Source organism: Homo sapiens, chromosome 10 (assembly GCF_000001405.40).
Source record: "Homo sapiens chromosome 10, GRCh38.p14 Primary Assembly".
Lineage (NCBI taxonomy): Eukaryota > Metazoa > Chordata > Mammalia > Primates > Hominidae > Homo > Homo sapiens.
Window position 1 is genome coordinate 97920306 of NC_000010.11, and position 14498 is coordinate 97934803.

Below are 14498 nucleotides of genomic sequence, written 5' to 3' on the forward strand. Positions count from 1 at the left end.
GTATAAACTGACAAACGCAGATGTGTTACGGTTGTAGAAGACTGCAGAAATTCATATGTGAACTTGACCATGGTAATTCTGGGAGGGTGAGATGATTCCAAGGGAAGGAAGATGTTTCTGCAGCTTTGGGGCCAATGCAGTGGTTCCCACACTTTAACCTATATCAGAATCACCTGGGGGGCTTGTTAAAACACAGATTTTTTTTTTAAACATCTGGCCCCATCCCCTGAGTTTCTGACCAACAGGTCTGGCGTGAGCCATGAGAATCTGCATTTCTAACGAGTTCCCAGATGATGCTGACACTGCTGGTCTGGGAACCACACTTTTGAGAACCACTGGTCCAGGGCCATTAGCCCGGGTCCTAGTCTAGGGCCTGCCCCTAACTGCTCCTCGTCCTCGGGCAAATCCCTGGCTGCCTCCAGGCTGCATCTCCTCAGATGTTAAATGGAGATCATACTCCCCCTGCTTCCTTGCAGGGTTCTTGAGAAGATGAAATGAGACAATGTATGTGAAAAGTCTTTGAAAAGATAAAAATGCTATATAAACAATGAGGCATAATCATTATTGATCAGAGGACGTTCTTGTAAGAGATCAGCTTTGAGCTGGATCCAGAAAGGTGGGTGAGTGATGAGGCAACTGGTGAGAAAGGACAAGTGGATGTTCCGGGTTTGGAGCAGAGAATGAGTGAGGGGTGGAAGGGGAGAGAGAGAGAACAGCACATGGCAGAGTGGGGGCGGGGCTGAGGCATTTATGGAGCAAAAGGTCTCATACTTCAGCATGCATTGGAGTCACCTGCAGGGCTAACTGAACCTCAGATTGCTGGCCCCACCCCTGGAGTTTCTGATTCAGTCTGTCTGGAGGGTGGAGTGGGGCGGGGCCTGAGAATGTGCATTTCTAGCAATGCTGCTGCTGCTGGCCCAGAGGCTACACTGAGATCCACTGACCAGGTAGCTAGATTAAAAGGCCCTGCCCCAGGTAGGGGCTATGGGGCTATGGAAGGATGACTAGGGTGAGTGCTATAATAAAGTTAGAAACTTGTGTCTGCTATCATTTCACCCAGGGGCAGGGAGGCGGAAGGTAAAAAGGCATCTTCATTTTCAGGCAGGCAAGGTTCAATTCCTGGCTTTGCCTGTTGCCTCATGTGTGATCAAGGTCAAGTTGCCTAATTTCTCAAAACCTGAGTTTCCATATCTGTCAAATCGGATAGTGACAGCATCTACCTCATTGGTGTCTTATGAGGATTCAGTAGGACGAGGCAGCTAAAGCATGCAGCATAAGGCTCGGCATGTCCCTAGTGTAAGAGGTGTTGGCTGTTACTGTTGTCCTTGCTCTCGTGTTTTCCTGCACCATGCTGCATTCCTCTCTGTCAACTTCCAGGCTGCCCTTGGCCTCTCTCCATTCCTCCCCTGGCAGTCCTCAGGCCCCAGGGATGGCCAAGGTGGTGGCTGGACTCAGAAAGCAACCCTCCTCTGCTGGCAGACTGACCATAGGGCTTCTTTCTAGTTCTCTGAGGCCTGGGAGACTGAAGTCAGGGGCTAAGCAGGGTGTGAGCAAGCTTCTGGACGCCTGCCTCCTGTGCTGCAGTGCCAGGTCATCTTTTTTTTTTTTTTTCATTTCACATAGTGCCTTTGTCCTGTGGTTAAATGCGTGGGTGTGCAGATGACCTTGTTAGGACAGAGTGCATCTCTTTGTGATTAACCTGCATGCCTCTCCCCCCAGTTCTCTGAGAAGTTGCCCACGTTAGCTGAGTGTCAAAAGCCTTGGTCCTGAACGGGTGAGATGGGAAACCGGGAGGAGGCTGGGAAGAGGCCCCTAACCGTGACCAGGTCTGGCACCCCCCAGCTCCACCCCACACTCTGGGGCTGTTCACAGAGCTGCCTTCCCATCTACTCCCACCAGGCAGGAGTCCAGGTGGCACAGATTCAGGTCAGGCTAAATGTGGCTTCACAGCCCAGCTTGGCTTCTCTTCCCAGCGCCAGCTTGTTAAGAAATAAATATTTATACCTGGCACCTGCCTTCTCCCAAGGCCTGGAGGCCCCTGCTGTAAAGATTCACACTGAATCCCCAATCCCCTCGGTGCCATCTCAATCCCAAAGTGAGCCAAACCTCTTGCCCCTGCCCCCAGAATGGGGGCCATAGACACTCCTGTGGCAGCCGGGCAGCAGCTGGGCCCCTGATTTAGTGATGACTGTTTACAAAGCCAAGGAGGTGGGTGGCAGGGGAGCAGGTGACAGGAGGGATAAATCACCTTTGCAGCAAGCTGCTGGCTCTGGCGAGGCCTGCTGGGACCTAAGCCTGGGTGGGCGGCTGCCCCCTCACCGGGCAGATGGCTGCAGTGGCTCATGCCCCTTCCCACTCCGTCTTTCCTCCCCATCCAGTTTGGGTGGGGCACCTCTGTGTAGGGTGCACTTGCAGAGCATGAAAACGTTGGAGGAGCTATTGATGAACTAAAGTACTCGTATATTGAGGCAACCCTCCCTTCACCCATCTAGGAACCCCTCCATTGTGCCTTCATTTATTCCGTAAATATTTATGAAGGGCCCCACGGCTCAGTGCCTGGCACACAGGAGGCACTTAATAAATGTTAGTTGAGTGAATGAATACAGGCAGGATTTAGAGCTAGAAGAGGTGGGTTCATGTCCTAGCCACACCACTCATCTGCTTTGGGCTCCCATGCAAGTCACTGCTCCAAGCTAGGCTTCCATCCCCACAAGTGTCCCGAGGACACAATGATCCCTTGGCTGGCTTCCTCACTGGTTTCTGGGAGGGCTGCATGGGAGACAGGATGTGAAAGGTACATAGGAATGCATTCTGCAAGTCTTAGTTGTTGGTATTTAGCACCCAATCTATCCAAGACACCGCGGGAGACGCCACTCTGTCAGGGGACGTCTACACAGTGGCTCCTCTCCTGGCTCTCATGTGGCTTCTCCCCAGGACCCCATGTGCCCCTGCACTCACCTTTCTGTCCACACAGGCCACAGAGCGTCCGGCAAAGAGGCTGGCCACACCACGGGCCACGTTGACCTCATCGCTCAGGATGTCTTCCCACCGGTTATTGCGGAACTTGAACAACTTGTCGGTGTACGTGGCCACCCCTGGAGAGAGGAGGAAAGGGAGGGCTGGTGGACAGTGGATCAGGGTCTTGGTTCTGATCTCTGGGTATGTCTCATGGCACCTTTCACAAGGTGGTTGGGACCAGAGGAGGTTGGGTCATCTGCGGCAAGGAAGACCTCAAGCAGGTGAGACTCCTCTGTGTTTGGGGAGCACTCACATGTTTCCAGTTGAGGGAAGAGACTCTGAGCCTCATGAAGATGGCTGGCCCAGGCCTCAGGAACTAGGGAGGAAGTGCCACTGCTGCAGTGTGCCCAAGATGACCCTCAGCAGCTGGATTTCATGCCCTGCCCCGTGCTCCTGCAACAGCATCAAGGAGCTCCTGGGACTGCAATACGGCAACATCCAAACTCAACCCAGGATGGCTCTTTCTCCAGGCGCTGTCCCTACATTCTCTACTGGATCGCAGGACCTACCTGATTTGGGTCTCAGAAGAAATGGTTCTGGTTCATGGGTAGGTCTCAGTCCACCCTGAGGAAGGGGCTGGAAGTTGAGCTCTGATGGGGTGAGAAATGAGGGGTTGTTCTGCCTGGGGTGTGATGAGTTTGGGCAGCCCTGGGAGGCCCCTGGTCCCAGGACTGGGGAGCCCCAGAAGGCAGTGGTTTTCACCTCTTTTGGATTACTGGCCCCTTTGAGAATTGGAGGGAGGTGAAGGACCTTCAGCTCAGGGAGTTGCAGGTCTGCACACCACACAACATGCCATACATCATTTCAGGTCTGTGGCCTTCTGGAGCTCGTTCGTGACTAAGAAGCCTTGTTCTGGAGAAGAGGGAATAACTGCTGGTTGCTGAGGTCTCAAGCCCATTCAAGTGACCACTTGAAAGGCAGAGGTCTCTCCTCCGCCATCATCCTTAGTTAATTTCTTGTTAATGCAAGACCCCGAATGTTCGTAGTTTAGGGGGGTCCTCGTTCTACCCCCTGGGCTGGACAGGAAACACAGGGAGAGGAGCAGCTGAAGGAATTGGGGAAGGTGAGGTTGAGGAAGAGTGGACTTGGGGACAGAACCCTGAACTTGACTGTCTGGGCCAGGGAAGAGGCAGCAGGCTTAGACTGAGGAGAGACAGCATGGCACAGGGGCCCAGGGGCCAAGAGCTCAGGGTGATGGAAATGATCTGGAGCCCCAGTGTTGGTTCTGCTTGGATTCTACTTCTAGGCTCCAGACTCGAGGCATGCTGCCCAGCATCTCTGAGCCTCGGTTTTCCTACTTGTGAGTGGGGATGACAGTAGTTACAGTCAAGTTTACTGTGAGGAATAAATGAGATGATGCACATTAAAGGTTTGGGATGGTCCCCCCACCAAAGTGGTAGCTATTTTTCGACAGGAATGATTTTTCTCATGTTATAGATGAACTACTTTCCAAGGTTCTTTAGAGACATCAGCCCTGCACTGCAGGGGTTTGGTGAAAACCAGTGATTCTGTGAGTGGGTGTGTGTGAGGGTGGGAAGTATGTGAGTGTGAGCATGAGCGAGAGTGAGCATTGTGAGAGTGAATGTGTGTGTGGATGTGTGAATGAGTGAGAGTATGCAGGAGTAAGAGCCAGCATGAGTGAGAGTAAGAGTGTGTGAGTGGGCTGGGCACAGTGGCTCATGCCAGTAATCCCAGTACTGTGGGAGGCCAAGGCGGGCAGATCACTTGAGCCCAGGAGTTCTAGACCAGCCAGGCAACATAGCAAGACCCCATCTTTACAAACCCTCCCCCTCAAAAATTAGCCAGGTGTGGTGGCACATGCCTGTAGTCCCAGCTACTCAGGAGGCTGAAGCAGGAGGCTCACCTGAGCCCAGGAGGTAGAGGCTGCAGTGAGCTGTGATTGTGCCACTGCACTCCAGCCTGGGTGACAGAACAATACCCTGTCTCAAAAAAAGAAAAGGGTATGAGTATGTGAAAGCAAGTGCGTGAGAAAAAGTGTAAGCATGAGAATGAGTGGTAGGTGTGAGAGTGAGACAATGGCTGAGAATGAGTGTGTGTCAGCATGAGAGTGGGTGTGTGAGTGAGGGTGTGTGGTGAGTACACGAGAGTAAGAGTGTGTCAGAGAATGAGAGTGGACAAGAACGAGTGAGTGTGAGAGAGTGGGCATGAGTGAGTGAGAATGTGGGCATCAGTGAGAGTGAGTGTGGGAAGGAGTCAGAGTGAGTGTTGAGAGGGGATGAGTGAGAGTGAGTGTGAGAGTGGGGATGAGAGTGTGAGAGCGGGGATGAGTGAGAGTGAGTGTGAGGGGAGGGTGAGTGAGAATGAGTGTGGGCATGAGTCAGAGTGTGAGAGGGGGGTGGGTGAGAGTGAGTGTGTGGGGGGATGAGTGAGTGTGAGGGGAGGGTGAGTGAGAATGAGTGTGGGCATGACTGAGAGTGAGTGTGAGCGTAGAGTGCGCGAGAACAGTCAAGTGTGTGTGTGGAAGTGAGCGGATGAGCGTGAGTACTTGTGGGAGTGTGCATAGGTAAGAAGCGTGTGTAAGTGACCCCTTGACCCCTCAGGTGGCTCCACCCAGGAGAGGACAAAAGGGTTGGTCTCTGAGGGGGCCTCACGTTGGGACCCCTTGAGACCACAGGACCCACAGGAGCAGAAGCATCATCTGTGAGGTCTGGAGTTGGCCTCAAGGGTCCTCACCCGACAGCAGGGAACCGGCACCCTCTCTCCCTGCCTGCTGTCCGGAGAAGCCTGACCCAGGGAGGAGGAAAAGTCCCTTCCGCTGAGTGGAGGCAGACCCAGGAGGCCTGCAGGGGTTGTAGGTGGAGGCTTCAGCACAGGCCTGTTTCTGTGGAGCCCAGAAGGGACCTGCGCTGAGCTGCTGTGGCCTGGATGCACAGGGGGGAAACTGAGTTGCGGGTCACCCTGAGAAAAGCACAGGGCCCCGACCCAGTCGGCCGGAGTCGCATCCCACATCTGAGGCTTGTTAGCTGCGAGGCCCCAGGTCTTGGTTTCCTCATCTAAAAGTTGTGGATAACAGCTCTGCCTCCCTCTCAGCGTCGTTGTGGGAATTACACGAGAAATGCACTTGGAGAGAGTTCGGCAGCAGCTTTGAGACCCCAGGTCCACAGCCCCTCCTCAAAATTCCTGGGAGTCAAATGTGTTCAGGAATTTGCATATTTTTCCTTCAGACTTTGGAAAGGTAACACAGTGCACACATAACACCCCCAGCAGGGATGGGGGTTTATTACATAACACCCCCAGCAGGGATGGAGGCAGCACCCAGTAATTAAACACATTAATATTTCTGCAGTGAATTATATGAATATTCACCCTAAGTAGGATAAATAAAGCCTATAAATAGCTCAGATTAGCCCAGGACAGGTTTTGCTATCAATTGAATTTCCCACAAAACTTAAAAAATGCACTTGAAGTGTTCAGAGGGTTCTGGATTTCAGGGCTCTCGAGAAGGGACTTGGACTTAGGCCGCCATCATCATGGCTGTCCTGGAGGCAGTGGCAGGCTTGCTATTGCTTCCAGATGCCTGGGAGCCTCTGAGGATGGTCTCTGCAGGCTTCTGGGTCTCCAGCCTTCACCATCAGCAAGCAGCCCTTGCCCATCTCTGCCCAACCATGGCCCCTTTAGATGCTGTACTTCCAGCTAGCTTCATCCCTGAGATGCCTGGGTCACACTCCACTGAAGCCTGGGCCAGCATGGAGTCGGGGAGAAAATGGGTGTGGCAGCTGGGGTTCTGCAGAGCTCTGATGGACACCTCTGGATTCAGTGAGAGAAATTTCTCAAGCTGCAGAGTTCCTGCGTTAGCTATCTAGAGGAGAAACTAGGTCTAGGGTGACTCTGTCCCCCTCTGTTTGCCTTCTCACCTCCAGTTCCTCCTGTCCATCCCGAGCAACATTTCCCAAAGAGTGCTTTGTGGGACTCTGATCTCTACGAGGTGCCTGGAGAAAGGACTCTGTGATCATGTGAGCTTGGGAAAGAACGCACACTCACCCACCTCTTGGAGATTCCCCCTGGACATTGATCTGTTAGAACTTCAGAAAGTCCTGCAATGAATTACCTGTTTAATTTTATTTAACCCAGCCTTTCCCAAATGTTCCTTGGCCATGGAACTCCTTTTTGTAGACCACCTCTTAGCACCCTGCGTAACTGGTGCTGTCCTTAGCAAGGTGCCATCCTAAGCTGCTGATGTCTGGTCAGGCTCAGAGCTTTTCAGCTGGAGGTGTTAGGGCGCCTGTGCTGTTGGCCTCTCCCCCTCTTCAGCCTCCTGGCTCCCGAGCTCACCAGGGATGCCCAGAAGAATAAACTAATTAAGGTAAAATGTGCAACAGCCATGCAGAGCCTTGTAGATCATAAATGGGAACGGCAAAATCAATGGCAGCCCTTCTGCAGGCAGAGGCCCGGAGGCCTGGGCGACGGGAGAGATGGGAGCCCGTGATTTAGGAAGAGCAAACGCTCTGGCAGCTGCAATCTGGGTAATTAGGTGTGTCAGGAAGACAGATAAACAGCGAGCTGTGCGGGTCGATGGCACAGGCAATAAACACCCAGCACTGGCCCCTGGCCCATGTCAGCATGCAGTCCTGCCTTCTGGCTCCTTGTAGCTGCATAAAAGCTGCACTCTGCCCTGGGGTCCCTCATGAGAGGGTGGGGGCAGCTGCTCGGGAAGAGGTGAGACTGTTAGGAGCAGGAGAGAGGTATTCTCTTGAGTCCCCTGGGGAAAGACACTGAGAAGGTAGAGGCGTGGGAGAAACAGGAGAGCATTTGGGGCAGGGCAGGGGGCCATGGAGCCACAGCCCTTACGAGGGGCAAGTCTAGTGATTCCCATTTCCACCCTGATTCTGGCATCTTGGCATTAAAGGAGACTTGAAGGTCTCAGAGTCCAGTCCAGTAGAACCACCATTTGCTGCCAGGAGGCCAGAGGGAAGGGTCTGCAGGTGAGGCTCAGGTGCCCACCATGCCCTGCAGGGGGCCAGGTGCTACACCAGATGCCGTTGGAGGCTGGGGGAAGTACGCCTTGGTCCCTGACTAGGGGCTTTTAGAGTCCATCCACAACACCAGGGACAGGTAAAGGAGATACCAAGAGACAGCCATGAAATGAATGATACTGCCACGTCTATAGCACTTGCCAGGTACCAGGCAATTCACGTATATTCTCATTAACCCTCACCAAAACCCCTCGAGGTGGGTACTATTTTCATGACCCCTTTACGTATGAAGCGCCTGGGGCATGAGAAAGAAGGGGACTTGCCTAAGATCCCACAACTGGCAGAGCCCAGCAGGGCAGAACCAGACAGTATGTCTGGGAGATGCCTTGAAATCAGGATGGAAGAGTCGCTGTGATCAGGGAGGGCTTCATGAGGGAGGAGGCAACTGAACTGGGACTGGAAGGGTCAGAGTAACAACAGCAATGCACTCTACAGTTTAGGCAGGATGGCGAGAAAAAGGCACAGAGGGGACATTGAGTTTGCCCAGGGAGGGGGGTTTGTGCAGGTGGAGGAGGCAAAGCATGGCAGGGCAGGGGAGACCCAGTAATTCCAGGACTGAGGGCAAAGGGGCCATTGGTGGCTTCTGATCTGGGGAAAGTCAGGGGAAGACAGTGTTTCCGGAAGATTAAGTTGGCAGTGGAGTGAAGGGTGAATGCGCCAGCAAAGGAGAAAATGCAGCGAGTGGCCACTATTTTAGGAGCTCAGGCTTGATCGGGATGGGGAAGAAGCACCGGTGCAGGAGGGGTTGGCTGAGTGTGGCCGGCAGAGTGAGGGAGCTGTCCAAAATGTGGAAACAGTGACCCAAGCAGGGACACTGAGCTTACTGGGGGTGAGCAAGAGCCTGACTTCAGACAGTTTGCATTTAAAGTGACCATGGGGTGGCCAAGAGGTCACTGGCCAAGAGGCATGACTGCTTACAGAATAGAGTCTGGAGCTAGGGAGAAGGGAAAGACCAGGCCATAAACAGGGTCCCTTGAGTCCCAGGGAGAAGCCACATTTGGGACAGAGATGGAGGCATCAGAAGACTAGAAAAGGGGAACAAGAGGGCACCTAGAGCCACTGGGAGCATGAGGTTGTGTCATAAAGAACTCTTCCAAAGGATCACTGGATCAGAATGCCTCCTCCCCAGGAGGCTTTCCCCACCTGGGAGATGTCCTGACTCATGGTCTGGTATTGGTGGTAGAGAGAAGGGTGGGCAGGTTTGTGTGGCAAGGCAGAGGCCTCAGCCTCCAACCTCATTCATCAGGCAAACAGCAGGGCTGGGGAAGTAGCCAGCAACCCTCCCTCTAGGTGGATCTTGGGCAACTCATGAACTTGTGTTTTCCTGATCTGTAAAATGGAATGAGAATGGCCACCTATTCGTCAGGTTGTTGTGAGGGTTAAATTAGATAATGTATGTAAAGTGCTGAGAACAATACCTGGCACATGATAAGTTAAATAAATAATAACAACACCGTCACCATCACCACCATCATCCAGGAAATCACAGCACATGACCACAGCAGATCCTCAACTCAGGAGGCAACTGTGATGTTAAGTATAAAAGGCTTTATAAGACTTCGTCAATGGAAAACCAGCAAGACAGTGATGGCTCCAGGGGAAGAAAGAACTCATTCAGGCAAAGGACATTTTAAAAGAGGAGCCCAGGCTGTGCTGGGTCCCTGATGTAAATGCTGACCCCAGCCTTCCTTCCCTCATCCCAAGGTTAAGAGGGAAACCCGATCAGCTCCCGCCAGGCACTTTGCCCACATCAGCTCCTTCAGTGCTCTCTGTAGCAGTGCCAGGAAGGCAGAGTCTTCATTTCACAGAAAGAAACAGGGGCTCAGAGGCTTAGGTCATTTGCCTAAGGTTGCACAGCTGTTGTGAGGTGGTCTGTCTGTTGCAGATCCCCCTCTCATGTTATTAAAGAGCTGAGGTTGCTCGTAGGAGGCAGTCCCAGTTCCTAAGGAAGCTTGTTCCTTGTTAGGACCATGGGGATGGCCTCTGGGGCCCCATATTCCATATTATGCTGCTTTGGCCCATGCTGGGAGAGCTGCAAGTCAGGACTTTGCATCCAAGTGAAATCTGGCTGGGGGATCAGGAGACCCCAGAATCCATTTTAGGACCTAGAGAATCCTAGGAAAAGAGGGTGGAGCCATAGGGCCATACATCTCAGACTTTGCTGGGTTCAGGAAGCTCCTGGAGATTAAATACAGATTCTGGTTTTGGAGGTCTGGTGTGGGGCCTAACAGTCTGCATTTTTAAGAGCACCCCGCTGATTCCCATGCTTCTGGCCCATGCATCAGACTTGGAGTAGTGAGGTGCAGAATATCTGGGTACAGTTGGAACTGGACTAGGTGGAGGAGCTGCCCGACCAGGGGTGCTTCTCTCAAAAGCAGTCAGCTCCTCTGCTGTGAGGGCAGAAGAGGCTGGAAGTACCACCCATCCAAATACCCTTCTCTCTAGCGTGGTGACTGACGCTCCCTCTCCTCTATAAGAAGTTACAAGAGCCTCTGCTGAAGACCTCTTTAAGTATGACACAGAGCCCAAAAAAGAAAAGAGTGATAAATCCAAGTCCATAAAAAGGAAAATTTTCCACATTACAACATCCACCAAGAGCAAAGACAAAAAAAAAAAATGACAAACAAGGGAAAAGTATTTTAAACTTGTCCTATAGACAAAGGGCTAATTCCCTAATTTATAAAGAGCTGTTACAACTCAATAAGGAAAAGACCAATAATCAATACAAAAATAGGCAGAGGCTATGAGCAGATAAGAAATTCAAATATATAAAAATATTCTCAGTCTCCTTCATTTTAACAAAAGTGAAAATTAAAACTGCACTTAGATATAATTTTTCCCCATCAGATTAGCAAATACTGTAAAAATAGATGAAATATTTGTTGGGAGTGTCGGAAAGTGCTTGCTTGCATATTTGGTCGACACGAACTTCCTGAGCAGTGGCCCTAGGAAGGACAATCTGGCAGTGGCTATGAAAACTACACATGTATATTCATTTGAGACAGTAATTCTATTTCTATGAACTCACAAATATGCCTGCAATTGTGGGAAATAGCATGTTGTACAAACTTATTCATTTGGTAGCACGTTTTGTGAGGGCAAAAGGCAAAAGACTGCAAGTAATCTTTCATCAATAGAGGACCAATTAAATTAATGGCACAGTGGAGTACTATACAACCATAAAATGAATGAGAAAGCTCTCTGTGTACTGCCATGAAATCAAATCCAAAATGCATTGTTAAATGAAAAGAGCAAAGAGTGGAACCATGAGTTGGGCATGCTGTTTGTGTAGAAAGGAGGGAGACACATAAATTATTAGAGCAGTGCTCTGCACATAGCAGCTCTTCAATCATTTTGTGGAACTGAATGCATGAAAGTACGGTAGTGGTGGGGCTCACAGTTCACACTGACCCATCCACTACCCATGCTCCTGTTTGTTACCCCAGGCCAGCTCATGCGGGCGGGAGTGCTCAGGGCTATTCAGTGAAGCAGCTGGGGTGAGCTAGTGTGTGACCCCCCCCAGGGGATGGGCTTTGACCAGGAGCTGCAGAACATCCTAGGTTCCTGGATGTGGAGGGAGGTGTCAGCACCTGTCTCTTGTCCCCCTGCGTCCTGCACACTCTCCTACCTGGTTTCACTGAGTAGTGTTGCCTGAGATGCTACTCAGTGGCTTGTATTTTTCTAGGTTGCTGAAGCCATAAGCCAGTTTCCTGGCCCAGGCCCTCCTGGGATGGTGGTCAGTCTTCCTCCTTCTCCTTTCCCTTACCCGCTTACCAATTCTCAGCCCTTGACCCAGACTCACTGGGCCCCCCATCTGCACAGTGTTACAATGCGGTCCTTTTCTCTTTGCTCCCACGGTTTCTCTTTCCCACAGGCCAGGAGGAAGGCCTGTGGACCTCTGCCCACGACACTTTGAGAGGCTCTGGCTTTCTTCAGAGCCACAGGACTAGAACGGCTATTGTGTGGAGGGCTTATAAAGTCCTGGGCACTGTAATAAGTGCTTTCATTCGTTATCTCAGGTGTTCATTCAAAAATACGTATTTAATGCTTACTAAGTGACAGTCACTCCTTTGGATCTGGAGTACGGCAGTGAAAAAGGCACCCCCATGGAACTAAGACCCTAGTAGGAGAGATGGACAACAAACAAAAATCGCCTGTTTTCAGATAGTGGTCAGCACTGTGAAGGAAAATAAAGCCAGTTAAGGGCACAGGGGGTAATGGGGGTACAATTTTAGATACGGGGCTCAGGAAAGATCTCACTGGAGGAGGGGCCTGAATGAAGGAGTGAGCCTGGAGAACATCAGTGGGAAAAGCATTTCAGGCAGAGGGAACAGCAAGTACGAAGGCCTCAGGTGGGAAGGCAGTGAGTGAGAGGAAGGATGGAGGAAAGAAGGTCAGAAAGGCAACCCGGGTCACATAGGAGGGGTGCTGTAAGCGATGGGAAGGGCTTTGGATATAGTCTATGGCGCCACTAGTGGGAGTTGAGCTTAAGAAGTTGGCATGATTTTAGATGAGGGAGTTGAGGCTGAGAGAGGTCAAGTAACTTGTCCAAGGTCACACAGTAAATAAGGGGCAGACCCCAGGTTTGTACAAAATGACTCCCACAGGATGTTGTTGGGATGCAGGGTGCTTGCCCTCTTCCAGGAACTCCAACGCTAGCATCCCAAAGGCTGGCCAAGGGAGGAGAGTGGGACCATGCTTCCACAGGTCGCTCTAACACACTGGCACATGCCATGGGCACAGCCAAATGCCATGGGCATGCCTGGGCTGGTTGGGACCCCTGGAGAGTGGGAAGGGTGGCAATGGCCAAGTGCCATGCCAGCTGGGCCCAAGGAAGTGCTGACATGGCACAATGTCCCTGCTCCACACCCCGCCCACTGTCGATTAACCAATGGGATCACTCAACTGAAAAATTAACTAAAACCGACAGACATCCCTCAAACCCACACAAGGTCAACAGCACTGAGGCTGCTGGGCACTGTTGCCTCACCCCCACCCTGGAGGCCGGCTCCGGCCTCTCCCAGTGCACACTTATGCCCTCGATCTCATGAGCCCAGGGCCCTTCTGGCGCCTTCACCGTGTCTGCCTTTCTTGACTTCCCTCAGTTGGCAAACCTCCTCTCAGGCCCAACAGCTCATGCCCACCTGTTCTTCCTGGGATTTATTTATCAAATTTTAACTTAGCTCTTAGGATATGCAATGTCTGGCTGGGGCCAAAGGGGGCCACAACATGAACGTACAAGGCTTTGCCTTCAAGGAGCTTAGAGTCCAGGCAGAGGATTGGGAGAGGGGACTCAGATACCCGGAGAAACACAAGGCCGTGTTGAGGATAGAGTGTGAACTTCACGAGGGCAGGATTTTTGTGTTTTGTTCACTGAAGCATCCTCAGTCCCTAGAATAGTAGGTGCTCAGTAAATATTTGTCCAATGGATGAATGCATTAATAAATGAGTAGGGTTGTTGTGGGGCTGAGCATGAAACTAGCATGATTCTGAGATAGTGGCCTTCCACCTTGGTGTATGCAGGAATCGCCTGGAGGTCTTTACCATCTGGTGACTGGGTCCCCCTCCTAGAGGTTCTGATGGGATTGACTGGAGTGCAGCTTAGCTGGGATTGTTGAAAGCTCCCCAGGTGACCCTAATGTGCAGCCTGGGCAGGGAACCAGGGCTCTGGGATTCACAATGCAACACTCTAAGAGCGTGGGAGGGGCTGCTGCTTCAGAGATAGATACCTGGTGGCTGCCACTGCAGATGCTCTGTGCTTGGTGAATAGGGGATGGTCTGTCCCCTTCCTCTGGCATCTGCCTGCTGAGCCCAAACTTCCAAAGTTCTCCTCGCTCCAGCTTCCAGGAGACTTCCTGGGGACTCACCCCTTCTATAGGCATCCCTTGACGCTGATCCCTTTCTGACCTTGTCCAACGTTAAAGAGTTGATCAGCCCATCAATTAATTGTGTCCTAATCCAATCTTGGCTTGGCTGGAGAGAGGGCAGTAAATCCAGCTGCATAATCATGCCCTGATATTTGTGTAGGGATAATTACTATCTCTCAGGCCTCACTTGGTGGCAAGATGAGATGAAAACCCATAAAACACCACTCAGGGCTGTGGCTCATTGTTTCTTGGCTACACAAGGCTGGCTGCCAGCCAGACAGCACTGCCTGCCCCTGCCCCTGGCATAAGCCCCAACCTCTTCCCCTCCCGTTTATGCAACTGCAGGACTCAACATCAGGGGCAGTCTAGGGGCTGGATCCTGGTTTGGGCTCAACAACCAGTAATGGTAATGTCGTGGCTCAGGGGAAAGCCAGTGTATATGTGTCAGGGTGGGGAGCGGAGCACAAGGAAGGTGGTCCTCATAGCCAGGCAGTCACCGGCCTCCAGGAGGTTGGGAGGTCCAGGATGATGACTGCTCAAGTCTGAACCCCAGGGCTTCATCCAAAGCTGACCCAAAAGAGGGCTGCCTTCTGGAGGAGCCCACTGCACATTCAACCTA

The 14498-nt window shown here is 51.8% G+C and overlaps 1 protein-coding gene across 2 annotated transcripts in view; it reads right to left on the bottom strand.

Moving 5' to 3' along the window:
* The window catches only part of CRTAC1 (cartilage acidic protein 1), a 165622-nt gene that overhangs the window by 55306 nt on the left and 95818 nt on the right, over positions 1 to 14498 (bottom strand). For both annotated transcript variants that reach the window (NM_018058.7, NM_001206528.3), the window contains exon 4: positions 2959 to 3095. In NM_018058.7, coding sequence (NP_060528.3) covers positions 2959 to 3095 — 137 coding nt within the window. The remainder of the gene's footprint in view (positions 1 to 2958; positions 3096 to 14498) is intronic.